Consider the following 24,970-nt stretch of genomic DNA (forward strand, 5'->3'; position numbering starts at 1 on the left):
CGTGGGTATGTCTGTGTGGGTGTGCATGCATGAGAGTGCACACGTTGCTATATGGCTCTGAGCCTGCTGAGTCAGGGCCAACCCTCTGATCACCCTCCTGTAGCTCCAAGAAGGAGGGCAGTTATTCACCCTCCACGCCGTTCCTTCCTGGGTTCGGGGGCAGCTCCCCGGAGGCTCAGGTACCCACCTTTCCTGCAGGTGTCCAGGCTCCTCTGCCTACCAGTGGGGTGGCGACCATCACCAAGGTGTGAGGGGCGGGGGGACCTGCCTGGGGGCTGATCAGGCTGCTCCCGGGAAGCAGGGACTGGAGCCCGGGCTTGGGCAGCTGGGCTGCGGCGTGCTGATCTGTCTGTCATCGCAGGCGCCGGCTCTGCAGCAGTACCGCACTAGCGCCGGCTCCCCGGCCAACCAGTCTCCCACCTCGCCAGTCTCCAATCAAGGCTTCTCCCCAGGGAGCTCCCCGCAAGTAAGGGGCGCCGCCTCCCCCTTGGCCTGTGGGCTCCACGCTTGTCTTGTTCATGCCCCGTGTGTTCCCTGCCCACTGTCTGTCCTCATGCATCGCTCCTCATGCATGTCCTCATGCATCCCATCCCGTCCACGCCATCGGACCTGAGCTGTGCACCTACCAGGCTGCACCAGGGCAGGAACCCCACAGGGTCCTTCCCAGGAGCCGCCAGAGCCTGCCTCTGCTGAACACTAGGTGGGGGTGTGCGTTAGTGACATTAGCGATGGCTGTGGCCCTGCCTGGATGTCCTCATTGAGTGGCCCAGGGACAATGCCCTCCACACCCAGTGTGTCACCCAGAGCATGAGCTGGAGCTTTAGGGACCCCCCCGACTTGGGGGTGCAGCTGAGGTGGCTGGCCCGCCCGCAGGGAAGGCGCTGACTCTGCAGCCCTGCTTTCCCCTTCACCCCATAGGCAGCTGTGTTTCTCCAGAACCACTGGCCCAGGAGGCTTCTCTGAGCCGCTCTGCAGTGTCTCAGGGCCCTTGTCCCCATTCCACAGACGGGAGACTGAGGTCAGCCTCAAACCTCACCCATCAGCCCTGGGTTTTCCTGTTGCACCCAGCACCGTAGGACCCTGGCTTGCTCACGCCCCAGCCACTCCAAGGTTCAGGTTCCTCGGAATGCCCCTTCGTTCTGCCTGGCCAGTGGAAGCGGCCAGCCTGGCTCCCCACTCAGCCTCCTCCTGTTGTACTTTGACATCAGGTGTGGCCAGTAGACCCCACATTCCATCTAGAACATTTGTCCGGGAGAAGGGGTGCCCACAAGGCCAACATCCAGCCGCCAACTTTTTTTACCCTGGCAGCAGAGCCTCCCCAGAACCCCGCTATCCTGGGACCATCTCATCCCTGAAATTTCACCAAGCTGAGAAACCCCTAGCAGCCACTGCTGTGCCCGGGGCCCTGAAGCCATCCCTGTCCCCTGTAGAGGGGATGCTCTCGTCCTACTTCCCAGCTAGATAAAAGAGTCGCTCCTCCAGGGCTGAGGTCGGGCTCCCTTGTCCCAGGGCAAACCGTGAGCGCCACAGACAAGGACAGTGAAGCCCCTCTGCCCCCATCTCCAGCTCTCACACGTGTATAGGGACATCTGCCCCATCAGCCAAGGGCCGTCTGGGACCACTGCCTGTAGCCCCGTGTTCTGGAGGCAAGTTGGTGGGCAGCAGTGGTCTCGGGGAGGCATGGGGGTCAGCCTGGTGTCTGCGCATGCTTGGTCTGCCCGCACTGGCTCTCTGAGCTCTCGGGCTCTGGCAGCGTGTCTGGTCTCGTCGTGTGGTACTGTTGGGGATGGGGCTGGAGGGGCTGGAGAAGCGGCAGGTGAGGCCTGTCCCAGGTGGGCAGCCCAGGTGGGGCTGGTTCCTGAGTGAGGTCCCTCTTGCATGTGAGACAGGACGGGACAGGAATTAGGAGTCGAGCCAGTTTCTCTCAGGAGAGAGTCACTGGAATGGTTGGTGAATTTTTGGGCCCCAAGCCAAAGCGGGTTAGTCTGCTGGGCAGCGAGCAGGTGGCGGTGTTGTCAAGCCCATGTCTGTGTGTCTGGTGTCCGTCGTGCGCTGATGCAGGAGGCAGGCGGCTCATGGAGGTATAGGGACATCAGTACGGGGCTCTCAGGGGCAGATGGTTCTAGGTGGAGCCGAGACCTGCCTTCCCTCTGCACTGGGTCTCCGAGGACTCACCCATCGGTCCCACAGGCCCAGACCACCCCACACCTGCTGTGTCCTGCCTTGAGTAGCCACTGTGTGCACCCTAGCCAGGCCCTGGGCCACAGGCAGCTACCATTTGGTCCAGTTTGTGGCTCTCTCCCAACTTCAAGCTCACCTTTCTGGCAAGCCCTCATGGCAGGCTCACAGGGAAACCTCAGCCTGTGTTCCCCTGTGTATGCCAGGCCTTTTTGAGCCCAAGCCCTCAGGGACAGGATCAGGCGCTGTCCTGGAAGCCTGGTCCCACCCCACACCCCGAGCCCCAGGACAGACCCAGCTTCAGACCAGCTCTACGACAGCCAGGACATTACCTATTGCCTGCCTGCCTCCCTCGCCTCGGGCAAACCAAGCCGCAAGCTTGCGGTCCTTGTTTCCAAAACCTGAAGCCGTTGATTTTTAGGGCCAAGATAGCATTTTTGCCACACGTGCTGGCCTTCCCTTCCTTGGGTCACCTTTTTACCTCTTCTCTGGCGTTTGAGTGGGACGTCCAACCTCACAAGCCTCCTCGCCCCAGGGTGAGCGTGTCTGTCTCTGTTGTCTGCCCACTGACCACCAGGAGCAACTGGTGGGTTTGTGGCCGGCCCCTCTCTGGGATTGAGGCCAGAGACTCAGGCGTTGGGATCTTCCTGGAACAAAGGGGATCTCTCTAGAACAAAGCTCAGATGGGGAGCTCCAAGGGAGAGGGCCAGGGCTTTGGGTCTGTGGAGACATTCACCTGGACGCCTTATAGGGCACATGCCTTACGCTATAGCTCTGAGAATGGCTGTGGGGCAGTGGCTTCCTGGGGACACTAGCCAGAGCTCCCAGCCCCCTGGATGCTGCCAGGCCTCCAGCAGCCACAAGGTCACACTGCAGCTGGGGTTCCCGAGGCCTCGTCCACGGCCACCCCCTCCTCGCCTCCACACCCCAGCCAGACCTCATCCCACCATCTCTTGGGGAGGGGCTCCGAGTGTCTCCTTTCTAGCGTCTCCACCACCCATAAGGTCCCCTAGCCCCCTGCTCCTGTCAAGGGACAGCCCCTGTCACCCTGCCTCTGAGAGCCCTGCTGGCCTCAGATAGCAGGAGTAGGGCCCCGGGTCCTGCAGGCTGGCAGCCCTGGGCAGGGGCTCTCCCTGTGCCTGTCCTGTGCTCTCTCAGCTGGTGGCTGGCTCTGTGCGCCCATCCTGTCCATGTACGTGGCCTGCGTCGTGTCCTTTGTCTCCTGTCAGGAGTCACCAAGTGCACTTTCTGTCCTGAATGTAACGTCTGGGCACTTCCCGCCTTGGCCCTGGTGACAGGTTCTCCTCTGGGGCCTGTTGGGTGGGGGTTCCTCATCCCTGTGGCCCCCAACTTCCCTGTGATGGAGATAGAGGCTGCCTTACCCAGGCTTGAGGAGAGGAGATGGGGATGGGGCCTTGGGAAGGGGCTTTCGGGTTGCAGAGGCCTCCCAGGAGCAGGTGGCAGAAAAAAAGTCATCCAGGATTGGGGGGCACTTCTGGAACCCCAAAATAAGCATCATCATCAGCCTCCTGCCGTCTGGGAGGTTCCAGGGGCCTCTTGTCTTCCAGCCGGGCTTGGGAGGTGCCGACTTCCCACCTGGCCTCAGGCCGTGACCACAGCAGGCCTCTCTTCTGTCTGCAGCACACTTCCACCCTGGGCAGCGTGTTTGGGGACGCGTACTATGAGCAGCAGATGGCGGCCAGGCAGGCCAATGCTCTGTCCCACCAGGTGAGCGGGCGCCCAGGCTGCCAGCCGGCCGGTGCCCAGGACAGATGCTTGCTGGGACCCTCGCTGGGACCCGGGCCTTGCGAGTCAGAGCTGCACGTGCTCGGGGGGCCCGTGCCTGCCCCTCAGCTTTGCCCCTCGGCCCCCGCCCCGTCCCATCTGCGGGCTATGGAGGCTGAGTCCCCGGCAGGGGTGGCCTAGCGCTGCCTCCCCTGGCATCTTTGCCCACCTACAGAGCGGAGGCCGAGGGCAGAGGGTGAGGGGGGGCAGGCAGCAAACGCCGGGCCAGACAGGGATGGGACCGTGGCTGTGGACGCGGCGCCTCGGCATGGACCGTGCACGCGGGTTTGCCGGGAGGTCGTGCTGGCTTTGCGTGGAGGCCAGGATCGGGGGCATCCAGGGGGCTTGGTGGCAGCCTGGAGCTGCTCACTCATTTGCTCATCCATTCATCCATTCATCCAGCCAGTCTCTAGGGTGGCGGGGAGGCCCCAGGTGGCGGGTGGAGTGGGGTTCGTGCTTGGCAGCCTGGGTGCCGAGCATCCTGCAGGGACAGAGTCCCCAGCTGCGGGCAGGACAGCCACAGCAGCCAAGGGCTTGGGGTGGCCAGCTGGGCAGGCCCGCGGTGGCCCTCACAGCCTGGTGTGCCTCCCTTCCCAGCTGGAGCAGTTCAACATGATGGAGAACGCCATCAGCTCCAGCAGCCTGTACAGCCCGGGCTCCACACTCAACTACTCGCAGGCGGCCATGATGGGCCTCACGGGCAGCCACGGGAGCCTGCCGGACTCGCAGCAACTGGGATACGCCAGCCACAGTGGCATCCCCAACATCATCCTCACAGGTGAGGCCAGGCCGGGGGCGCGTGTGCGGCGCCCCAAGGGGCCTCAGCCCGTGCGGAGACAGCCAGAGACTGCTGTCCCGCAGCAGGAGGGTTGACAGGGCCGGGGTTGTGACCCAAGCTTGATGGGGGCCTGAGGAGGCCACACCCCCTCTCCCCTGAATTTGACTCACTCCTGGGCTTCGGGCCAGGCCAGGCCAGGGAGATGCCTCTGGACCAGACGTCCCGTGCATAGGATAGAGACGGTCACTCTCCCCTCTCGGCGGCCTCCTGTCTGGCCAAGCAGCCCGGGTAAAGGTGAAGCAGCCGGGTACACGGTGCCCACTGCCCAGGCCACTGACCTGTCAGCTGAATGTGCACCAGGGTCAGGGACGGCTGTGGGGTGGGCCCTGTCTGGTGAGCCCAGCCTGGGCAGCCAGCTAACAGGTCAGGGCCGTGATGCACCGTGACAACCACGCCCAAGCAGTCTGAGCACGGCGCCTGGGCTCCTGGGGACAAGCCAGCCCCGTCCTGCATGGCACATATCAGGAAGACCCGGCTCCATCTAGCACAGAACCCAGACCCTGTCTCCCTGCTGAAGAAGATGATTCCCTTATGAGTCAGGGCTGCTGGATTGAGGGTGATGCGCCCCCTGGCAGTCCTCACTGGCCTCTTCCAGGCTGGAAGTGTCCGTATTTAGTGCTCCCCCACTGTGGCCTGGGCTCTGAGTGCAGAATCCAGCACCTCCTTCCCACCCCTCGGGTGTAGGCAGCAGTTGACGAGAAATTCAAGGGTGGACGCGCCAGCCTCAGACTCAGGAGAAGAATCAGAATCTGACCCCCGCAATGGCCTCAAGAGCCCAGAAAGACAGGGCGTTTCAGCCCCATTTCTCAGACCTGGAACCTGAGTGTAGGTGGAAGCCTAGGTTTGAACCCGGGTCTTTGTGGGGGAACTGAGGATTCCCTCCAGCCCTAGCAGCAGCTGGGTCCCCACAGTCACTCCAGCCTGCTTCTCAGTGACTCGTGCCGAGCAGCCCTCATGGCTGAGGGAGCCGGGGAGGTCCCTGCCCTCGCCAGGTCATGCTGACGTGCATCAGTGACACAGCCCTTGGCCCGAGGCTTCTCCTTGGTGCTCCTGACATCTGGAGCTGACATCTAGGGCCAGACTGGTCTCTGGGGTCCAGGCACTGTAGGGTGCTGAGCAGCATCTCATGTGCTGGCCCCTCCCCCAGTCATGACAGCTGGAATGTCCCCAGACATTGCCAGCATACCCAGGGGACAGAGTCGCCCGGCGGGCATGCCTGGTCCGACACATGGATGCGAGCGATGGAGCCAGGGCTAAGCAGTGCCTTTTGTCCCCACCCCATCCCCCAGTGACAGGAGAGTCCCCCCCCAGCCTCTCTAAAGAACTGACCAGCTCTCTGGCCGGGGTCGGCGACGTCAGCTTCGACTCCGACAGCCAGTTTCCCCTGGACGAACTCAAGATCGACCCCCTGACCCTCGACGGACTGCACATGCTCAACGACCCCGACATGGTTCTGGCCGACCCAGCCACCGAGGACACCTTCCGGATGGACCGCCTGTGAGCGGGCACGCCGGCACCCTGCCGCTCAGCCGTCCCGACGGCGCCTCCCCAGCCCGGGGACGGCCGTGCTCCGTCCCTCGCCAACGGCCGAGCTTGTGATTCTGAGCTTGCAATGCCGCCAAGCGCCCCCCGCCAGCCCGCCCCCGGTTGTCCACCTCCCGCGAAGCCCAATCGCGAGGCCGCGAGCCGGGCCGTCCACCCACCCGCCCGCCCAGGGCTGGGCTGGGATCGGAGGCCGTGAGCCTCCCGCCCCTGCAGACCCTCCCTGCACTGGCTCCCTCGCCCCCAGCCCCGGGGCCTGAGCCGTCCCCTGTAAGATGCGGGAAGTGTCAGCTCCCGGCGTGGCGGGCAGGCTCAGGGGAGGGGCGCGCATGGTCCGCCAGGGCTGTGGGCCGTGGCGCATTTTCCGACTGTTTGTCCAGCTCTCACTGCCTTCCTTGGTTCCCGGTCCCCCAGCCCATCCGCCATCCCCAGCCCGTGGTCAGGTAGAGAGTGAGCCCCACGCCGCCCCAGGGAGGAGGCGCCAGAGCGCGGGGCAGACGCAAAGTGAAATAAACACTATTTTGACGGCTGTCTTTTATATTTCTGAGCACACACAGAGCCCTGGCGTCCACCGGGGCAGGCGCAAAGTGGACAGAGCATGCAGGGCGGCGGACCCCCCCACGACCCTCCTCGCCCTGTCTCCATCCCCTCGAAGCCCTGCCTCACCGCAGGCAGGCCCATCGGTGGCCACCTTTGCCGGGAAGTGACCGGAAGGCCCCGTGAGGGGTCGAACGCGGAGGCAGGGGTTACCTCTTGGGGCTTTACAATCCGTGGCCCCTCCTGTCCTGCACTGTGGTCACCGGTCCTGTCATAGATGCTGTTAATTTAAGGTACAGGCAGAGGTGGCCAGGGGAGTTTCATTGTGGTTTTTTTTTCCTTTTAGTTTCTAGTTACATTTTGGTTGTAGATGACTCGCTTAATCTTTTAAGCCAACACTTGCCTGAGAGCATGTTTTTATTTCAGAAATCCAACTTTACCTATTTTTTAAGCTAACTGGAAATGGAGGCCATGCGCCCCAAAGCAGCCCGCCACCCACCTGAGTGTAAGAAGTGAGTCCGGCTTTTGGGTTTCACCCCAAGTTATCTCAAAACAAAAGGGCTGGTCAGGCTGGGCAGGGCCTTGTCAGGAGCTCACGGTAGGCAGAGGTGCCTCTGCCAGGGCCACAGAACAGACTTCCGGGAAGGGGCCTTGGCTTTTATTGAGGGTCTCTCAAAGACCCAGCCTGCCAGCCTCTCCCAGAGGTGCCTGCTAGTCCTTAGAGTGTGTGTGTGAAGATGCCATGACCAGTGGCAGCTGAGACCTCTCTGCCCCAAGAGTGTGGGGGACTGGCAGGGAGCGAGGGTCCCCGAGACGAGGACCACGGTCCTCCCTGAGAACCTGGGTGGAACTGGCATTTCATCCCCTCTCCACCCTACCCTCTGGCTCCTAGCCCACACCCCCTCTCTTGGGCAGCGTGGTCTGCTGGCTGCCCCTTCTTGGCAGCTCAGGGTCGTGGCAGGTGGACTTGGAGACACACAGCAGTGTGTGTTTTAGTGGCAGGTTTCAGGAGCACCTCTAAGACCAGGGTGACAGGGTACTTGGGAGCTGTCCTGGACCCTCCCCATACCACGGGCCCTGCAAGGGAGGCATCAGGGCTGGCTTTGTTTTCTGCTGTTCTTGGAATAGGAACTGCTGTTCTGATCCCCCCAAAACTGCATTGCGGCTCTCGCTCGCTCCTGCCTGCCGGGACAGCGCCTTCTGCTGAGTCCGTTTATTTGTAGTGTCATGGCTGCTGCTTTCACTGGGGTCCTGGGCACCCTGGCTTCTGTCCTCAGAGCTGGGTTTGATCCTAGCAACCATCCCTTCCTCTCTTTGCCCGGCAATGCCTTTGGCATGTGTCTGAGCAGCCAAGTGGCCACTCATAGGAGAAGGCTCCCTGGTCACGTTGCTCCTGCTGCCGTCTTGTTCCAAGGTGCGGGGGGGACACTGTTGGTCTGTCCAGGTCAAGGTCCCTTTCTCTTACCATGACAGAGGCTGGGGGCAGACAGCGGGGACTTTTTTTTTTTTTTAAGAAAAACTACATGTACATAGGAGAGTTTCATTACCATTAGACTTGTATGTAGGACTTAAAAAAAAATGGCCTTAATAAAATTACAAGCAACCCGCCTGGATGCGGTTTTCAAAAGAAGGCATTGAGGACCATGCTAGGAAACCTCATACCCCATCCGTCCAACCTCCGGCGGGCGCCACTGCTTGTCCTCTGGTCTTCGGTGTGGACAGATAGGAGAGGAGGGATGCCCACCTCGGAGCATCCCAGGCCCGTGGCCCATTTTCAGCATCCTGAAGCCAGATTCACAGTGACATTGTGTTAACGTGACGACCTTGGTCCATTATGGAGTTCTTTTTCCAATAAGAACCTGGTGGACCGAGGTCCGAGCTTGCCAGGGACAGTGGGGCCCACGCGAGTACCCGGGGCCCAGCCAGGAGCCAGCAGCCAGGCGTCCCTGTGTTCCAGAAGGATTCACGCCCCTCCTGGACCTGGGCGGGCCTCCCAGGGGGTCTGTATCACGGCCTTTTGTGTGTGCGTACGTGTGGTTTTTTTAAATATCACTACTACATATTCTTGAATTGCCAAGACTTTCTGAAACAAGACAGCTTAAGGGAATCAGCCTTTTGCTTTGTGATGTGAAAATACTGTGATTTGACGAGCCGCTTCCTGAGGGGCAGGCCCACGTGGGGAGGTTGCGCCGTGTACATAGACCCGCCGTCTGTGTCCTTGGTCAGGCCCGGATGCTTGGTCTACACTGGGTTAGAGGCTGCTCTCCCCACGCACCCATGTGCTCATGGCTTCTGCAGACCCTCTGCTGGGTACATCGGTCCCCTACGGCGAAGTTCAGCCAGGGCTCTCCCTCCTGAGAGCATGGCGTCCCCACCTTCCTGTTTCGCCGACGTCACTACCCAGGGTGGCAAGTCTTGCAGGCAGAGGGTGTAGCCCAAGTTCAGCCTCTCTCTGTGTCCTCCAGAGAAGAGGGTTCTTTGCCCTCATCAGGGCCCTGCTTGTGGGTTTTCGGCTCTGGGGAGGAGAGTGTTGGCATCAGTGTGTTTGGCCTGATTTCTTCAGGGGGCCAAGCTCCCGGGAGGACCCCTAGCCAGGAGGGCCCCCCATGTCCATCCATCCCTCCTGCTGGGGCTTGGATGTCAGGCTTGGGGGCTGTGAGCTGGGACCTCGCCTGAGCCCGGTCAGGTGGGACAGGAGCCTGCCAGAAGCCCATGGGGGGCCAGGCCGGGTGGCTTCTATTTTATTTTTTTAGAGATGGGGTCTTGCTGTGTTGCCCAGGCTGGTCTCGGACTCCTGGGCTCAAGCAGTCCTCCCTCCTCGGCCTCCCAAAGTTCTGGGGCTACAGGTGTGAGCCACTTCTGCCCAGCATCCCAGGCCTGAACAGCCTTGGCAGGACCCGTCCCTAGAGGGGGCTCTGGTGCCTCCCTTAGGTGGGCCTTGAGCTGGTTTTTAACCAAACATCCTTCCAAACTCGGGCTGCGACCTGCTTCCTGAGTTTTCTGTATTTCCAAGGAGCCCTCCGACCAGGGAGAGGCTGGTGGAGTAAGGTCCAGCGGTATTCGGGGGTCCTCTGTCACCTCGCCCTGAAAACAGCAGCTCCCATCACCTTCACTGGGTCCCGATGGAGCCGTCTCAGAGGCCGAGGGGCCCTCTGTGTGGGGGTGGGACGCAGGGGCTCTCAGAGCAAGGGCCACAAAGCCGATGGCACAGATGTGCCCCTGGGCCTGGCCCGTCACCCACATGTGGTGCCCTGGGCCAGGGCGTGCGGGCGCCAGAGCCTTCCCTACACAGCCTAAGAGCAGGGGCAAGACTCGGCCCCTCACTCACCCTGGGAGGCCTGCCTGGGCTACATGGACACCTGGGTCTCTTTCTACCCCCATTCACCATGGACCAGGGGCCTCCATTTCCTGGGGGCTCTTGCGGCATGTGATTTGGGGGTCCCTGGGACATTCTCCCGTCAGCTCCACCTGAGCCAAGTGTCCTGTTCCCTGCGGCCCTTGGCCTTCCAGGGTCCTGGCCAGGCAGGGGTCAGGCACCCCATACTCTTCCGTGTGGCACAGGTGTCCACCCACCCCCACTGGCCACAGACACCATTCTCCCCCTGGGAGCAGGAGGTGGAGTAAGTTGTACCCCCAGGCCTGGGTGCTGGGGAGTTCCTGAGGGCATGGGTGGGGCAGGAGTGAGTGCCTCGTGATCCCAGCCTCAGTTTCTCTCTTGTCACTTTCTCAAACCTGCAGGTCTCAGGGCCCCGGGCTCCTCCTGGGCAGGATGGGGGGCAGGGGCTGGGCCTTGGGGTGGTGCTGGCTCTGATGATTCCAGAGCCTGTATCCACCTTCTGGGCTCCTGGCCAGCACCCCACCCCCAGGAGCCAGGGACAGGTGGCATGTGTTGGGGTCGGGGGATGGCCCCCATCTCGAAGTGTTCTGGAATTTGGGGGCAACCCTTGCCCAGCCCAGCCATCAAGAACTTCTGATCTCCTGCCCACCAGGAGGGGACTTAGCCATGGACTTGGCCAGTAGGCCTGGGGAGGGAGGGCTTTGGCAGCCAAAGTCCACTGGCCCTGCCGTGCCCCTGAGTAGGAAACTGTCCCCTAGGGGCTGGGTGGCCCCACTGATATATGCAAACCCGCCGGTCCGAGCCCTGTTCCTGCCTGTGCTCCTCTGTGCCCAGGCTGGCTCTCCCCCAACCCTAGCATGTATACTCTGCCACGGACGTCCCGTGGGCCATGATTGTGGGCGGCCGCAGCGGGCGGGGGCAGGCGGCTCAGGGCACACTCGGCCGTCCCTGCCCCATCCTCTGGCAGGGCTGCTTTTGTCTTTGTACCTTTGCATCCTTTGTAATGAAACGTAATAAAAATCCAACGTTTTCGTCACTGGCTCTTCCTCTTTTTTCTGAGCCCCTCCCTCCTCCCTCAGGGGTGACACATGGGCGTGGCAGGTGCACTGGCAGGTGCCTCAACCCTTCCGAACACACACACACACACACACACACACCCCAGACCAGGCAAGGGAAGGGGTCCCCAAAGCTGGGACAACTGGGAACCTGCCCCCCAGAATCCTGGGGCGGACACTGTATCGGGGTCTCAGCTCTTCCATGGCTGGCATCCAGGCCTGTGACCATGAGGTGGTGGGTCGTGGAGGTGGACCCAGGGGCCTCCCCAAATCCCAAATCACAGTTGGACAGTCCCTGGCAGGCCACTGGCACTCAGCAGCAGCTGCAGCACTGAGGCCTTGGTTTGGGGTTCCCTGGCCCGACCCTCCCTCAGAGGCCCGTCCCTACTGTCTCCATGCAGCAAAAACCACAGCCGCCACTCCCTGCACACACACTTTATTTTGTCCTCTCTGAGCCCTTCTCACTTCCCCCTCAGGACGGCCACCCCTTGGGGCTGGGTGCAGAGCCCCCATCCAGCCGCGGTGAGGGTGGCTGTCATCCGGCGGGTCCTCACCCTGGTCCCTAGGCTTGCCGCAGCTGATGGGTCTCATAGTCCTCTGGGATGGTGTCTGCAGGGAGAGGGCAGGCGGGTGAGGGCTGAGAAGGCCAGCAGGGCCTGTGTGCAGACTCCCCGCCCACGGCCCGCTGGCCCTCGGCTCACCATTGCAGCGGTAACGCAGGTTGGCCCAGATGATGTTCTCCTGGGAGAAGCAGAAGACCCCCAGGCGGCCACCCCGCATGGTTGTGTCCAAGACCACGTTGCTGTCGGCCACCAGCTCAGGGCCCTCATAGAATCGCACCCTGAGGGTCAGACATGGTGAGGCCTGGGGGACCTGGGCCAGACCCTTCCCTCTCAGAGCTTCAGTGGCCAGCCCTGGAAGATGGGTACCCCTGACTGGGCTGCACTGGGAGCAAGTGAGGCCTCTGCCTTGGGCCTCAGTTTCCTGGTGTGGTGGACATCAAGGGCCCTGGACATAGTTGGTGCTAAACAGAGCACCTGGGCTTGCTAGCAGCATGGAATGGAGGCTGAGAAACAGGGACTGGGTGAGGCCCCATTTCTAGCTGGATACACACTGTGTGCTGTGTCCTGGCCAGGGTCTCGCTCTGTCACCCAGGCTGGAGTGCAGTGGTGCAATTACTGCCACCTTAATTCCCAGACTCAACTGACCTCAGCCTCCCTAGTAGCTGGGACCATGGGCACGTGCCACCATGCCTGGCATTTTTTTTTTTTTTTGAGACAGAGTCTCACTCTTGTCACCCATGCTGGAGTGCAATGGCACGATCTCCACTCACTGCAACTTCCGCTTCCCGAGTTCAAGCGATTCTTCTGCCTCAGCCTCCTGAGTAGCCGGGATGACAGGGCCCCGCCACCACACCTGGCTAATTTTTGTATTTTTAGTAGAGATGGGGTTTCAACATGTTGGCCAGGCTGGTCTCAAACTCCGGACCTCAGGTGATCCACCCGCCTCGGCCTCCCAAAGTACTGGGATTACAGGCATGAGCCACTGCGCCTGGCCTAATTTTTTTCTTTTTTGTAGAGACAGGGTCTTACTATGTTACCCAGGCTGCCTCGAACTCCTGGGCTCAAGCGATCCTCCCATCTTGGCTTTCCAAAGTGATGGGGTTACAGGTGTGAGCCACCACGCCTGGACCAGCATAGGCTCATTCTAACTGCCCTGTATCTTTCCTATCGTACAGATGAGGGGACCAGGGTCACACAGCCCCTGCCTGGCCAGGGCACTCCCACCTGGGCCTGTGTGTCCCCAGCCCAGCCCACCACAGAGGGTGGAGTCCCCACCTGATGTAGCCCACTTGGGGCCGGTGCTGCAGGAACCAACGATAGGACTTCTTGTCCTTCCAACCCACGTTTCGCGGGTCCTTCCACAGCAGCCGCACCTGGGACTCTGTGTCTCCTGTATGCCACAGAGCGTTCCGCAGCTGTTCCCCGGGGCCTGTGGAAGACTTCACAGCCTGCCAATACCCAGGAAAGGTGGTCAGAGACCTCGTGGGCCACCGGAGCCCCCCTAGACACCTTCCTGGAGAGACAGTTGGGAGCAGCAGGTGGTGGGCGGCCAGGGGGATCCGGATGAGAGACCCACAAGGAAGCCTTCTTCAGGGGCCAAATGGCAGCTTGGGGATAGGTCACAGGGGGCAGCAGTGGTCTGCAGGTTCATGAGAGGATTTGGGAGTCCGTGGACAGATTCAGGGTCTGGGAGGATGGGGGGCTCTGCAGAAGGACTTGGAAACTAAGGAAAAGTTTAGGGCTGTGTGAGAGGGTTTAGGGTCCATAGGAAGACTGGGGGGCCCTGAGAATGTTTGAGAATTTGTGCAAGGAACTGGGAGGATTTGGGGACTGCGGGAGCCCAGAGGAGGGCTGGGACAGCTTTGAGGTCCATAGTATGAGGCTAGGGGGCTGGGGGGCTCTAAGGGCTGTAAAGGGTTTTACGGAGGGTCATGGGAGGGCATGAGGACCGCAGAGGTCAGGCACGGACGGCCCTGGCACCTTGAGTTGGATGCCAGGCTCGGCCACAGCACGGAAGGGGTTCGCCTGCCAATACGTTTGCTCCATCTGCTTCCACATGACCACGTAGAAGCTGGAGCTGTCCTGGTAGCCAAAGATGAAGCCCGCATAGTCGTCATCCGTGACCGTGTTCACATGGAACGTGCCCTCGAAGTCCACGCCATTGAAGGCAGTGTAACCTAGGGATGGAAAGAGAGCAGTGGCCTTTCCGAACGCCAGCCCCAGCCCCCGGAACCTGGCACCCAGAACCCAAACCTGCCCCCTGGGTCCCGATCTGCCTGCAGACCTGCACCATTCCCACTCGCAGAGCCCGGACTCAGCCACGCCCCCCATCTACCATTGGCCACGCCCCTCCAGAGTCCACCTCCACTTGGCCCCGCCCTTCCCGAGCCCGCCCCTCCTCTGGCCCCGCGCCTTCTCCTCCCGGGCCCGCCCATATAACCCCGCCCCTCTGTCCCCGCCCTTCCTGAGCCCGGGCCAGCCCCCTTCTGGCCCCGCCCATTCTCAGCCCGGGCCTGCCCCTTCTCTGGCCCCTCTCCCTGAGCCCGCTCCGTGGCAGGATAGCGCTGCTCCCCGCTTCTCACCCACAGCCAGGCCTGGGTCGCTGTTCATTGTCTGCACGATCTCCCTTCCCTGATGGGGTCAAAGAAAGGAGGGCCTCAGGCTGGCCGTGACAGCCCTAGGCACCCTGTCCTCAGCATAGGCCTCACTGTGGGGGTTCTAGGGTCCCATCACCCCCCACGTGGACCCCGCTCCCACCTGGTTGAGCACCACCCAGTTGGGGTCAATCTGCGCGTCACCCTCCGGGTCCAGCACGACTGTCTGGAAGGCCCTGAAGTCGGTGAGCGTGACTTCAGCGTTCTCCGGACACACGTCGATCTTGTCTACCACCTTGTCTGCATCAAAGTCGTCCTGGCACACGTCGCCCACGCCGTCCCCTGAGAGGTGGGAGACCCCTCGGTGGGCTAAAGTCAGGGCCCGCCCACCGTAGACCCCGCGCCAGGAGCCCCCACTGGCCCCGCCCCCACCGCAGGCCCCGCCCCCGCCGTACTGTCCGCGTCCTCCTGGCCGGGGTTAGGCACCAGGCGGCAGTTGTCCCGACTGTCAGGGACTCCGTCATTGTCGTCGTCGTCGTCGCAGGCATCACCCTGGCCATCGTGGTCTGAGTCCTCCTGGGCACTGTTAGGCACCGTGGGACAGTTGTCCCGAGAGTCCTGATGTCCGTCTCCATCCCTAGAGTGGATAGGTGGGATCCAGAGACAATGAGCTCTCCAGAGCGTTTTGTCAAAGGCTACCCGGACGCCCACCCCAGGTGGCCTCCTTACTGGTCTTGATCGCTGTCACAAGCATCTCCCACAAAGTCGTGGTCCACATCCGCCTGCGGAGGGCAGCATGCGGGGGTCCATAATCAGACAGAGGAAATCAGAAAGCCTCCCACCCAACCCAGCCGCACAGCCAAGGTCCTCCTGACCCCAAGGAAACCCCCACCGCAGGCTGCTCGGACCGAGAGGTCATTTCTCTGGCAGTGTAAAATGCTCTAAGCTGGGCTGTGGGCTGGGTAATCCAACTTGCAGTTCACCCAGAGGGCTTACCCAGCTGGAGTCTGGCCTGCCCTCACCTGATCCGGGTTGCTCTTCTGGGGACAGTTGTCACAGGCATCCCCTATACCATCGCCATCACTGTCCTTCTGGTCTGAGTTGGGTACCCTAGGGCAGTTGTCGGCCTGGTTGCGGATCCCTGCAGAAATCCACGGGACCAGAGCCCCAAGATTGGGACCAGGCCAGAATGACTTCATTAGGATGAGGCCAGCCTGAGGCTGGCCTGGAACAGAGTCCCAACTTCATGGAAGCTTTTTTTTTTTTTTTTTTTTTTTTTTTTTGAGACAGTCTCATTGTGTCACTCAGGCTGGAGTGCAGTGGCATGATCTCGGCTCACTGCAACTTCCACCTCCCGGGTTCAAATGATTCTCCTGCCTCAGCCTCCCGAGTAGCTGGGATTACAGGTGTGCGCCACCACGCCCAGCAAATTTTTGTATTTTTAGTACAGACGGAGTTTCACCATGTTGGTCAGTCTGGTCTCGAACTCCTGACCTCGTGATCCACCTGCCTCAGCTTCCCAAAGTTCTGGAATTATAGGCATGAGCCACCCCGTCCGGCCCACAGGAACTTTAAGAATGAATGGTCCCATCCAAGGGAAGGCTAGTGAGGGGGACGGGCTCTCACTCCCAGGGTGGCTCAGCTGGGTGCCCGTGTGTGCCACCCTGAGCCCCTATGTCCCCATCTGTAAAGTTGTCACCTCCCAGGTCCTAAACCCCAGGCTCGAATCTCTTGTCCTCTTAATTCCTGCCTGCGGCATTGACACAGGGACCACCTTCCCTTCCAAATATCCCTGCGTTTTTCCTGGCCTTGCAGCCCAGCTTGCATTTTTCTGGCGCCCCACCATGGTCTTTGGTCCAGGGCGCCCTAGTCCAGCTTACCCCATCCGGCTTCCAAAACCAGCCAAGCCCCGCCCCGGAGCCGAATCCCGCCCTTCGGTGCCCGCCGCCTCTCCTCGCCCCCCAACCCCCATCGAGCTCACGGTCGCCGTCGATGTCGTCGTCGCACGCATCGCCCCGGCCGTCCTGGTCTGTGTCCTTTTGGTCGTCGTTCTTCTGGGACCGGCAGTTGTCGCACGCATCGCCCCACTTGTCCTCGTCCGTGTTGCGCTGGTCTGGGTTCCGCACCAGCGGGCAGTTGTCCTGGATGACAGGGTGGGTTAAGGGTGAGATCAGGTCGAGAAGGCAAAGGTCACACTCCTCAGATTCCCAAATCTCCGAGGACGCGTCTCCTCCTCAAGGAACCTTTCGCCCCTCCTAGACCACGGAGGCCACGCCCCTCATCCAAGCCACGCCCCATCCCACTTCCCTAGGCCCCGCTCACAGCTCTGTCTTTTCTTTTTTCTTTTTCTTTTTCTCTTTCTTTCTTTCTTTCTTTCTTTCTTTCTTTCTTTCTTTCTTTCTTTCTTTTTTTTGAGACAGAGTCTTGCTCTGTCGCTAGGCTGGAGTGCAGTGGCGCGATCTCGGCTGACTGCAACCTCCGCCTCCCGGGTTCAAGCGATTCTCCTGCCTCAGCCTCCTGAGTAGCTGGGATTACAGGCGTGCACCACCACGCCCCGCTAATTTTTGTATTTTTAGTAGAGGAGGGGTTTCACCATGATGGCCAGGATGGTCTCCATCTCTTGACCTCGTGATCCGCCCGCCTCGGCCTCCCAAAGTGCTGGGATTACAGGAGTGAACCACCGTGCCGAGCCGTAGATCTACCTTTTCATTGGGGACCCCGTCCCCGTCGGCATCCGGATCGCAGGCGTCTCCGATGCCATCGCGGTCCACATCCTCCTGCCCTGAGTTGGGCACAGTCACGCAGTTGTCCTGGGGGCGGGCACAGAAGGTGTGAGGGGCGCGGTCATGAAGTCCCGCCCTCCCTCCTGCCCAAGCCCGCCCCGCTCCGCCCCCACCCACCTTACGGCACTGGCGCTCCGGGCAGCGCAGCTTCTCGTCCGGGAAGCCGTCTAGGTCAGTGTCGCGACCACAGAGGATCCCGTTGCCGGCCCAGCCAACGGCACACTGTGGGAGAGTGTAAGTGGGTGCCCTGGAGTGGCCGCCACCCAACCCCGCCTCAAGCCCAGCCCGCCCGCACTCACCACGCACGACCGCGAGCCATCGCGCTCTAGGACGCAGTCTGCATGCTCGTGGCACTCGCTGGGCGAGCCGTCGGGGCAGAAGCGCTGTGCGCGCCGCTGGCAGCCGGACGCCTGGTCGCCCACGAAGCCGGGCTGGCACGGGCCGCACTGGAAGGAGCCCTGCGCCGGAGCCGCCGGAGGTCAGCGCAGGCCGCCCGCCGCTCGCCCCACCTCCCGCGATCCTTTCTTCCTCCCCAGCGGGCCTTACCCGGGTGTTGATGCACACGGAGTTGGGGACGCAGTTATGTTGCCCGGTCTCACACTCGTTGATGTCCGTGCAAACCTAGGGGAGGGGAACTCAGAGGTCACCACCCCACGCAGACACCTCCGGACCTCCCACCTCCTCCACACTTCCTCCGCATCCTGCCTCTCCCCTCCATCCTGCCCCAAACCGATCAGCCCTGGCGCAGCGGACCCCTCCTCTCCCCACCCCTCCCGCTGGAAGGAGGCTGGAAGAGGAGTTTACTGGTAAACAAAATGGACGCCCCCTTCCCTTCTGCTCCAAAAATGGGGCCCCCACACCTCTCACCTGCTTGTTGGCCTTGGCGAAAGCCAGCCCCACGCCCTGGTGGGTGGGGCCGCTGTACCCCGGCGGGCAAGCCTCGCAGCGGAACCCCGGGCTGGTGTTGATACAGCGGACTCGGGGGAAGCAGGGGTGGGCGTTGCACTGGGGGAGGAGGGGCCACAGAGGGTCAGAGGGCTTCGAGCTGGGCCCTGGGGGCCGCACCTCGTAGTGTCTCGGATGTGGAAAGTTCAAGGGCCATATGCCAGTGCTTGGAGCTCTGAGATGGAAGCAATTGTCGCAGGGGTCAGGCACGACTTTGCCTTGATGACGGCAAGGGCGCAACCGGGAGAGGAGAGGAGAGCTGTTCCCTCATGGGCGAGGGGAGGAAGGATGAGGGCGGGCATCCCCAGCAGAGGGGGGCAGGGGTCGTCGGGGCGTGCGTGCCCGGCGGTGGCGGGGGGTCTGGGCGTGCGTTCCCTGGCTGTGGAAGGGTCGTTGGGACTGGCGATCCCCTGCGGCGAGGAGGGTAGCTGGGGCGGACCACCCCTGGCGGTGAGGGAGTCGTCGGGGCGGGCGTCACTAGCTATGTAGGGGGTTGTGGGGGCGGGCGTCCCGGGTGGTGACGGGGATGGTCCTTGGGTTGGGCGTCCCCCCGCGGTAAGGAGGTAGTCTGGCCGTGCGCCCCCGGAGGTGAGAGGCTCTTCGGGGCGAACACTCCCAGTGGAGGAAGGGGTCTCCCGGGCGGCGAGAGATTGGGGGGCGGTAGAGGGAGTCGTCAGGGCGGTGGAGTGTCGGGGCTAGCGCACCTCGTTGACGTCGGTGCAGTGCGAGCCGTTGCCCGTGAAGCCCGCGGGGCAGGGGCCGCAGCGCGCGCCGCTCTCCGTCTGGATGCAGGCCACGCCGGGGAAGCAGAAGCCGGGCGCGCAGTGGAGCAGGGGCCGCACGCTGGGTAGGCCGGTGCGTACTGACTGCTGCATCCCTGCGGGGGGGAGGGGGGAGAAGCGGCGGGGCTGATCGGTGGCTCGCCCGGGGGCAGAGCCTATCATGGCCACGCCCCGGGGCTGGAGGCTTCCCCTTCCCCCCCACCCCCCGCCCCGGGGCGGCCCGAAATCCTGCGCTGTCCGCGATCCCGCCCCAGAGGCTGCGCGCTCTGACCGCGGGGTCTCCCCGGTCTCTTCTCTGAGTCTCTGTCCCGCTTTTCTGCCCCGTGGCGTCTCTCACTTCCCCAAAACTCTCTCACCGCTTCTGTCTCTTTTTGTCTCTGTTTCTACACACCCCATCCCATTCCCGTTCGTCCGTCCACCTCTCCGTCAGCCTCCATCTCCTTCCGTCTCTTTTCCTCCCCAGCTTTCCCTGGCTCTCTGTCTCTGTCTCTGTGTCTCTGTCTCCCGTCTCTTCTCTCTCCCGACCGCCCCGCCGCGCTCACCGCACGCGTCACACTCCATCACCGTGTTTTTCAGGAACGTGATCTCCCTGACCTGCAGGGGTGGGATGGAATCAGCGGGGTCCCAACCTCTCCTCATCCCTCGGGTCTCCCCTCTCTCTACCCCGGGGTCCCTTTCTACAGCCTCTTTTCGCCAAGGACTCCCTACCCGCCGACCCCCTTCCCTCCCCATCTCCTCTCCACCTTCTCGGGTACTTCCTCTCTCCTCGCTGGGAACTGAGACCCCCTTCCGTTCCCTGGCACTCCCTGCCCCGCACCCGGGCCCCGCACCTGCTGCCGCAGCAGCTCCCGCACGTCCTGCAGCGCCGCGTTGGTTTCCTGCAGTTCCCGAAGCATCTGCGGGCCCAGGTCTGAGCCTGCGGCGGCAGGGGACCTGGTGAGGCGTCATGGGGCCGGGGAATCCCACCACCAACTCCCACCGTTGCAGCGAACCCGGACCTCCGAGGCCCCACTGCGCTCCTCTAGTCTCGGTCCCGCCACCTGCTTTCTGCGCCCGGCACGTCCCCTACGAACAGTCCGTGAGCCCCAAACAGCCTGGATCCCGGGCCTCTCACGGGTCCTACAGTCCGTTGTGGGGCCGTGGGCACGGCGCGGGTGCTAACGCGGCTTACCCAACGGGCTCTGGCCCTGTCCGGACGCGCCGAGGGCAGCCAGGGTGAGCAGAAGAACGCAGGCGGTGTCGGGGACCATGGCGGTGGCGGGGAGCTGGGTGGCTGCTCGCTTTCTACCGCCCACGAGGCCCGCGGGGCCTATTTATCCCCAAGGCACGGCCGGCCCCAGGGACGGCCCACCACAGCCCTGCCCAACGTCCAGCCTCAAGGTAAACAGATGGCGCTGGCCCCTGCGTTCAAGTCCCCGCCCGGAATGCCCCGCGAAGTCGCCCGCGGCTGAATCCGACATGGTGGGGAAACTGAGTCCCGGGGTCTGTGGAGAGAGCTGGTGGGGCAGGGAGTCAGGGGGTACTGCCCCCACTTTCATTCACTGTGTGTGTGCGTCTGTGTGTGTGTGTGTGTGTGTGTGTGACGGGGTGTGGCTGTATCGCATCCTCTTGCTTCAGTCTCCCATGTAGCTGGGACTACAAGCCCGCACCACCAAGTCCAGCTAATTTATTTTTATTTTTATTTTTATTTTTAGAGACCGGGTCTGGCTATGTCCTGCAGGCTAGTAGTCTCAAACTCCCGGCCTCAAGCGATACTCCCCACATAACTGGGATTACAGGATCCAGCCATAGCATTCAGCTCATTGATTGATTGATTGATTGAGTGCTTGCTGTATGCCAAACCTGAGTTCCAGTTCCAAACAAGGCAGGCTCCATGGCCACGCTCTCAGCTCACACTTCGGGAAACAGAGTCACCAGCGTCTGAAAAAATAGGTCCACCCACTATGGATCAGACTGACTGGCCCTCCACTCCTCCTGAAGTGCTTCAAAACTGGGTAAGTTGCTGGGTGCGGTGGCTCACACCTGTAATCCCAGCACTTTGGGAAGCCAAGGCGGGCAGATCACCTGAGGTCAGGAGTTTGAGACCAGCCTGGCTAACATGGTGAAACCCCATCTCTACTAAAAGTACAAAAATTACCCAGGCGTAATTCCTCCCTTGCACAATGGAGGTAATAAGTTAATAATTATTAATTAATGATTAATAGTAATGATGATTATGATGATGAATGGAAAATAGGGGAGGGGCAGTTGAGACCTGGGACTCTCAATTTTCCTGCCTCTGTCCAAGGAGGCCGCTTCTGGCCCCAACGCTGGAGGGCTGCAAATGACTCCCCCCAACCCAACTCATTGCTGGTGTTCCCTCCCCTCCCCATGGTCCCTCGGCTGGTGGAGGAGGGGACAGCGTTCAGGATCTTGCCCCAACCCCTGTCCAAGGGGACAGGCCCACTTGGTTTTCCAATCTGCGCAATGGGGTGTGAGGCCCCCATCTGGAGGGGAGCAAGTTAAAGGGCTCTAGCAAGGGGAGGTCCGGGGCTTCTGTTTGTCCAGGCTGTGCCATACCTTCCAAACTGTGCTCCAGCTGCTGTGGGAACAGCCTGTAATAAAAATAAAAGTTACCGCTAACTGGCCAGCCACACTCTGGAGTTACAAAACCCCTTAACCTCCTGCAATCAGTTAACACTCTCCACTCCCACCTTCCAGTACTCACAGCGTCTATTCTATAGACAGAGAAACTGAGGCCCAGAGAGAAAAAGTGACTGGCCTAAGGCCACTGCCCGAGGGCAGGGGTGAATCTAGACTCAGAGCCAGATATGTTTTCTGGGGAGCCTACAGAGAAGTCACCGAGGGCTTCCTGGAGGAGGTAGCAAGGAGACAGACATAAAAGAAAAGGAGGACTTGGATCAGCAGAGGGAAAAGGTGAGGGCAGTTTTGGTGGAGGGAAGCATGTGAAGCTTGGAGGTGGGGACATTTCTAGACACAATAATTATTTCACAAACATCAAGGACTGTTGTGTGTCATGTCTCCTGTGCTGGGTGATGGGCACACAGGGTGAAGAAGCCAGACCCAGTCTCTCCTTCAAATGGGGAGCCCAGTGGGCTCATGGCTGTGACGGGACACACAGACAATGGTAGGAGTCCCCAGGAAATTGATCTGTTTGAAAGGGGATGGGTCAGGGCGGGCTTCTGGAGGAGGAGGGACCACCAAGCTGAGGACCGGATGATGAGGAGGACACAGCCAGGCAGAGGTAGCAGAAAGTCATTCCAGGTAGAGGAAACAGCATAGGCAAAGGCCCTGAGGCAGGAACCAACCTGGCCCGTTGGATGGACTGACCTCAAGGTGACAAGCTCTTGGGGCTCAGTGAGAAGCAGGAGATGAGGCTGTGTGTGAAAGGGCAGTGCTGGTGGTGTGGGGCTCCAGTGGTCTCCCGAGGGTAATGGGGAGCCACAGAGAGTGCGTGAAGAGAGACAGGCCTATAAGTGGAGTGTTGGTGGAAGCAGCTGGTCCCAGCCAGAGCATTTCCAATGAAGCCTGTCCTCAATAGTGCCTGCCCTGCCTGCTGCCTACATTGGGGCCATGAGCTCACCTCCTGTTTTCCTTGGCCTTCAGCACACCTGGGGGCCGCTCCTGGCAGCACTGGAATTCTCGGGAAAACCACAGCTCCAGTGGGGCCTGGGGGCTGGCATATGCTGCACACAGCTAGGACAGGAGCACATGGAAGCCAGGCCCCTGCCACAGGCTGGTCACAGTGCTGGGGCTTGGACACACGTGGCCTTATCCATGGCTGGGCCACGGGGAGTTGCAGGGAAGGGCATTCCAGGCGGAGGGAACTACAAAGGTGGAGTTCCTGAGGGTGTCCCAAGATCGGACAACAGAGGCCCGGAAAGGGGATGTCTGGGGTCACACTCCTGCCTCCTGGATCTCGCCAGCCCTGAAATCCCCCTTCTAGGCAGCAGTCCCCTCCTCCTGTGCACACCACACTTGCCTCAGATTACAGAATAACTCACTGTAGGTGTCATTCTGGGCCTTTGTACCTGCTGTTCCCCCCACCTCGTACAAACTCCTCCATCCTTCAAGGTCCAGCTATAATGTCCCCTCCTCCAGGAAGCCTTCCCTGCTGATATTCTCCAGATAACCTTCCAGCCTAGCCATGATCCTCGGGACTGTGAGTGTCTGTGGTTTGCTCTGTCCCTCCGAGCCTGAGGGGCTCCCACCCAGGGGCCTGGACTGGTGTAGAAAGGTTAGGCTGGAGGGCTTGGTGAGCCGGGACAGCATCCCTATGATTCGTGTTCATTACTATTTTTTTTTTTTTTTTTTGAGATGGAGTCTCACTTTTGTCGCCCAGCTGGAGTGCGATGGTGCAATCTCGGCTCACTGCAACCTCTGCCTCCTGAGTTCAAGTGATTCCCCTGCTTCAGCCTCCTGAGTAGCTGGGATTACTGGCACCTGCCACCACGCCCAGCTAATTTTTTTATATTTTTAGTAGAGACGGGGTTTCACCATGTTGGCCAGGTTGGTCTCGAACTTCTGACCTCAGGTGATCCACCTGCCTCAGCCTCCCAAAGTGCTGGGATTACAGGCGTGAGCCACCGCGCCTGGCCATTACTACTTTTTATAATTAATGTAATGTCATTACTATTTTTTTTTTTTTTTAAAATAGAGATGGGGGTCTTATTATGTTGCCCAGGCTAGTCTCGAACTCCTGGGCTCAACAGATCCTCCTTCCTCGGCCTCTCAAAACCCTGGGATTTCAGCCACTGCACCCAGCCAACATTATCATATGAATCCTAGTAACCCCTGCCACCTCTGTACTTGATATGGCAGGGAAGGGGGCCACACAGCCTGGGTTCAAATATTGGTGAGCATGGCCTTACTGTGTGACCTAGGACAAGTCACTTAACCTCTCTGTGCTTCAGTTTTCTCACCCATAAAATGAGGATGATCACTGTTGAGAGGATTGAATGAGCTGACCCATGGAAATCCTTCAGCCCAGCGCCCAGCTCCAGCGCTACTAGCGTGCTTATTCCATATGAAATTTATACACCGTGGGCCAGTGTGGTGGCTCACACCTATAATCCCAGCACTTTGGGAGGCCACAGCAGGTGGATCACCTGAGGCCAGGAGTTCGAGACCAGTGTGGCCAACGTGAAACTCCATCTCTACTCAAAATACAAAAATTAGCTGGACGTGGTGGCGCGTGCCTGTAATCCCAGCTAATCGGGAGGCTGAGGCAGGAGAATCACTTGAACCGGGGAGGCAGAGGTTGCAGTGAGCCGAGATCACATCACTGCACTCCAGCCTGGGCGACCGAGTGAGACCTTGTCTCAAAAAAACAAAACAAAACAAAAAAACTTATACCCTGTGCCTGTCGCTTATACCTCAGATCGTTCTTATTTCTATCTTACTCAGAGAGGAGAAGAGACAGTCTGAGGTCACACAGCCAGAATTAGAACTGAGGCATGCAAGACCCTCAAGCCCTTCATACCCGCCCTCTCTGTCCTTGCCACAGAAACAGAATCCAGCATTTCGCTGGCCCGAGCCCCTCATTAACTGGGATGTCTTCTCGGCCCAGGACCTCCTGGCCAGAGCATCTGGCCGGCGCCCCAGCCAGCCCCACACCAGGCCCCGTGGTTCCAGGAGCCCGGCCAGGCTGGGGAAGAGGGACGGGTGCCTGCATGATGGGGCCCCGGGGCCCTTCCTGGCAGACGTCTGCTCAGCCAGGAGACGTGTGGGCGCCCCGGCTCCCTGCCTCCCGCCCCCACCGTTGCCTGCCTTTGTGAATGCAGAAGGAAAGTATGTTGTGAAGGCAGCCGCCCTGCCCTGGGCGGGCCGGGCTGTAGGCCCCCAGTCTGCGGAATTCATCAGGGCGGCAGGGGAGGGCAGCTTGGCGACCTCTGCATCCTCAGCCTGCCTTGAACTGGGAGAGACGTACTGGAGGCATCTCTCTAGAAGGAACAAAAGGCAGGGGTGGGATGGGGGGCTCTGAGCTTTGAAGTCCAGGAGACGCCCCCCGACTGGCCGTGTGACCTTTGGC

The 24,970-nt window shown here is 60.9% G+C and overlaps 2 protein-coding genes across 3 annotated transcripts in view, besides 6 other annotated features; one reads left to right on the forward strand and one right to left on the reverse strand.

The window, feature by feature from the left end:
* CRTC1 (CREB regulated transcription coactivator 1) overlaps window positions 1-11,253 on the forward strand; it is a 98,654-nt gene extending 87,401 nt beyond the window's left edge. For both annotated transcript variants that reach the window (NM_001098482.2, NM_015321.3), the window contains 4 exons: window positions 362-466; window positions 3,820-3,906; window positions 4,561-4,741; window positions 6,091-11,253. In NM_001098482.2, coding sequence (NP_001091952.1) covers window positions 362-466; window positions 3,820-3,906; window positions 4,561-4,741; window positions 6,091-6,302 — 585 coding nt within the window. In that variant the 3' untranslated portion in view covers window positions 6,303-11,253. The remainder of the gene's footprint in view (window positions 1-361; window positions 467-3,819; window positions 3,907-4,560; window positions 4,742-6,090) is intronic.
* Window positions 499-793: a silencer, noted in NCBI's record as "tiled region #9725; K562 Repressive non-DNase unmatched - State 8:EnhW". NCBI's record gives its function as "represses a minimal TATA promoter and a strong SV40 promoter by Sharpr-MPRA in K562 cells {active_cell/tissue: K562}" and the evidence as "EXISTENCE:reporter gene assay evidence [ECO:0000049][PMID:27701403]".
* COMP (cartilage oligomeric matrix protein) lies at window positions 11,693-20,225 on the reverse strand. The gene is made up of 19 exons (NM_000095.3): window positions 20,111-20,225; window positions 19,770-19,855; window positions 19,482-19,533; window positions 18,862-19,034; window positions 18,080-18,217; window positions 17,759-17,833; window positions 17,512-17,670; window positions 17,330-17,434; window positions 17,132-17,239; window positions 16,411-16,570; window positions 15,452-15,570; window positions 15,159-15,211; window positions 14,885-15,066; window positions 14,593-14,771; window positions 14,418-14,466; window positions 13,816-14,012; window positions 13,111-13,283; window positions 11,974-12,113; window positions 11,693-11,881 (listed from the first exon to the last, which is right to left on the reverse strand). Exons 1-19 carry the CDS (start codon window positions 20,187-20,189, stop codon window positions 11,835-11,837), a joined length of 2,274 nt encoding a protein of 757 aa, NP_000086.2. The 5' UTR covers window positions 20,190-20,225; the 3' UTR covers window positions 11,693-11,834.
* Window positions 14,227-14,316: a silencer, noted in NCBI's record as "silent region_10417". NCBI's record gives its function as "represses an Ori minimal core promoter by ATAC-STARR-seq in GM12878 lymphoblastoid cells {active_cell/tissue: GM12878}" and the evidence as "EXISTENCE:reporter gene assay evidence [ECO:0000049][PMID:35858748]".
* Window positions 18,805-19,384: an enhancer, noted in NCBI's record as "H3K27ac-H3K4me1 hESC enhancer chr19:18900694-18901273 (GRCh37/hg19 assembly coordinates)". NCBI's record gives its function as "activates a minimal SCP1, AML or CMV promoter by ChIP-STARR-seq in naive H9 embryonic stem cells {active_cell/tissue: H9 hESC(naive)}" and the evidence as "EXISTENCE:reporter gene assay evidence [ECO:0000049][PMID:30033119]".
* Window positions 19,385-19,965: an enhancer, noted in NCBI's record as "H3K27ac-H3K4me1 hESC enhancer chr19:18901274-18901854 (GRCh37/hg19 assembly coordinates)". NCBI's record gives its function as "activates a minimal SCP1, AML or CMV promoter by ChIP-STARR-seq in primed H9 embryonic stem cells {active_cell/tissue: H9 hESC(primed)}" and the evidence as "EXISTENCE:reporter gene assay evidence [ECO:0000049][PMID:30033119]".
* Window positions 19,966-20,544: an enhancer, noted in NCBI's record as "H3K27ac-H3K4me1 hESC enhancer chr19:18901855-18902433 (GRCh37/hg19 assembly coordinates)". NCBI's record gives its function as "activates a minimal SCP1, AML or CMV promoter by ChIP-STARR-seq in primed H9 embryonic stem cells {active_cell/tissue: H9 hESC(primed)}" and the evidence as "EXISTENCE:reporter gene assay evidence [ECO:0000049][PMID:30033119]".
* Window positions 24,100-24,629: an enhancer, noted in NCBI's record as "H3K27ac-H3K4me1 hESC enhancer chr19:18905989-18906518 (GRCh37/hg19 assembly coordinates)". NCBI's record gives its function as "activates a minimal SCP1, AML or CMV promoter by ChIP-STARR-seq in primed H9 embryonic stem cells {active_cell/tissue: H9 hESC(primed)}" and the evidence as "EXISTENCE:reporter gene assay evidence [ECO:0000049][PMID:30033119]".

The sequence above is a fragment of the Homo sapiens genome, chromosome 19 (assembly GCF_000001405.40).
Source record: "Homo sapiens chromosome 19, GRCh38.p14 Primary Assembly".
NCBI classification, from domain to species: domain Eukaryota; kingdom Metazoa; phylum Chordata; class Mammalia; order Primates; family Hominidae; genus Homo; species Homo sapiens.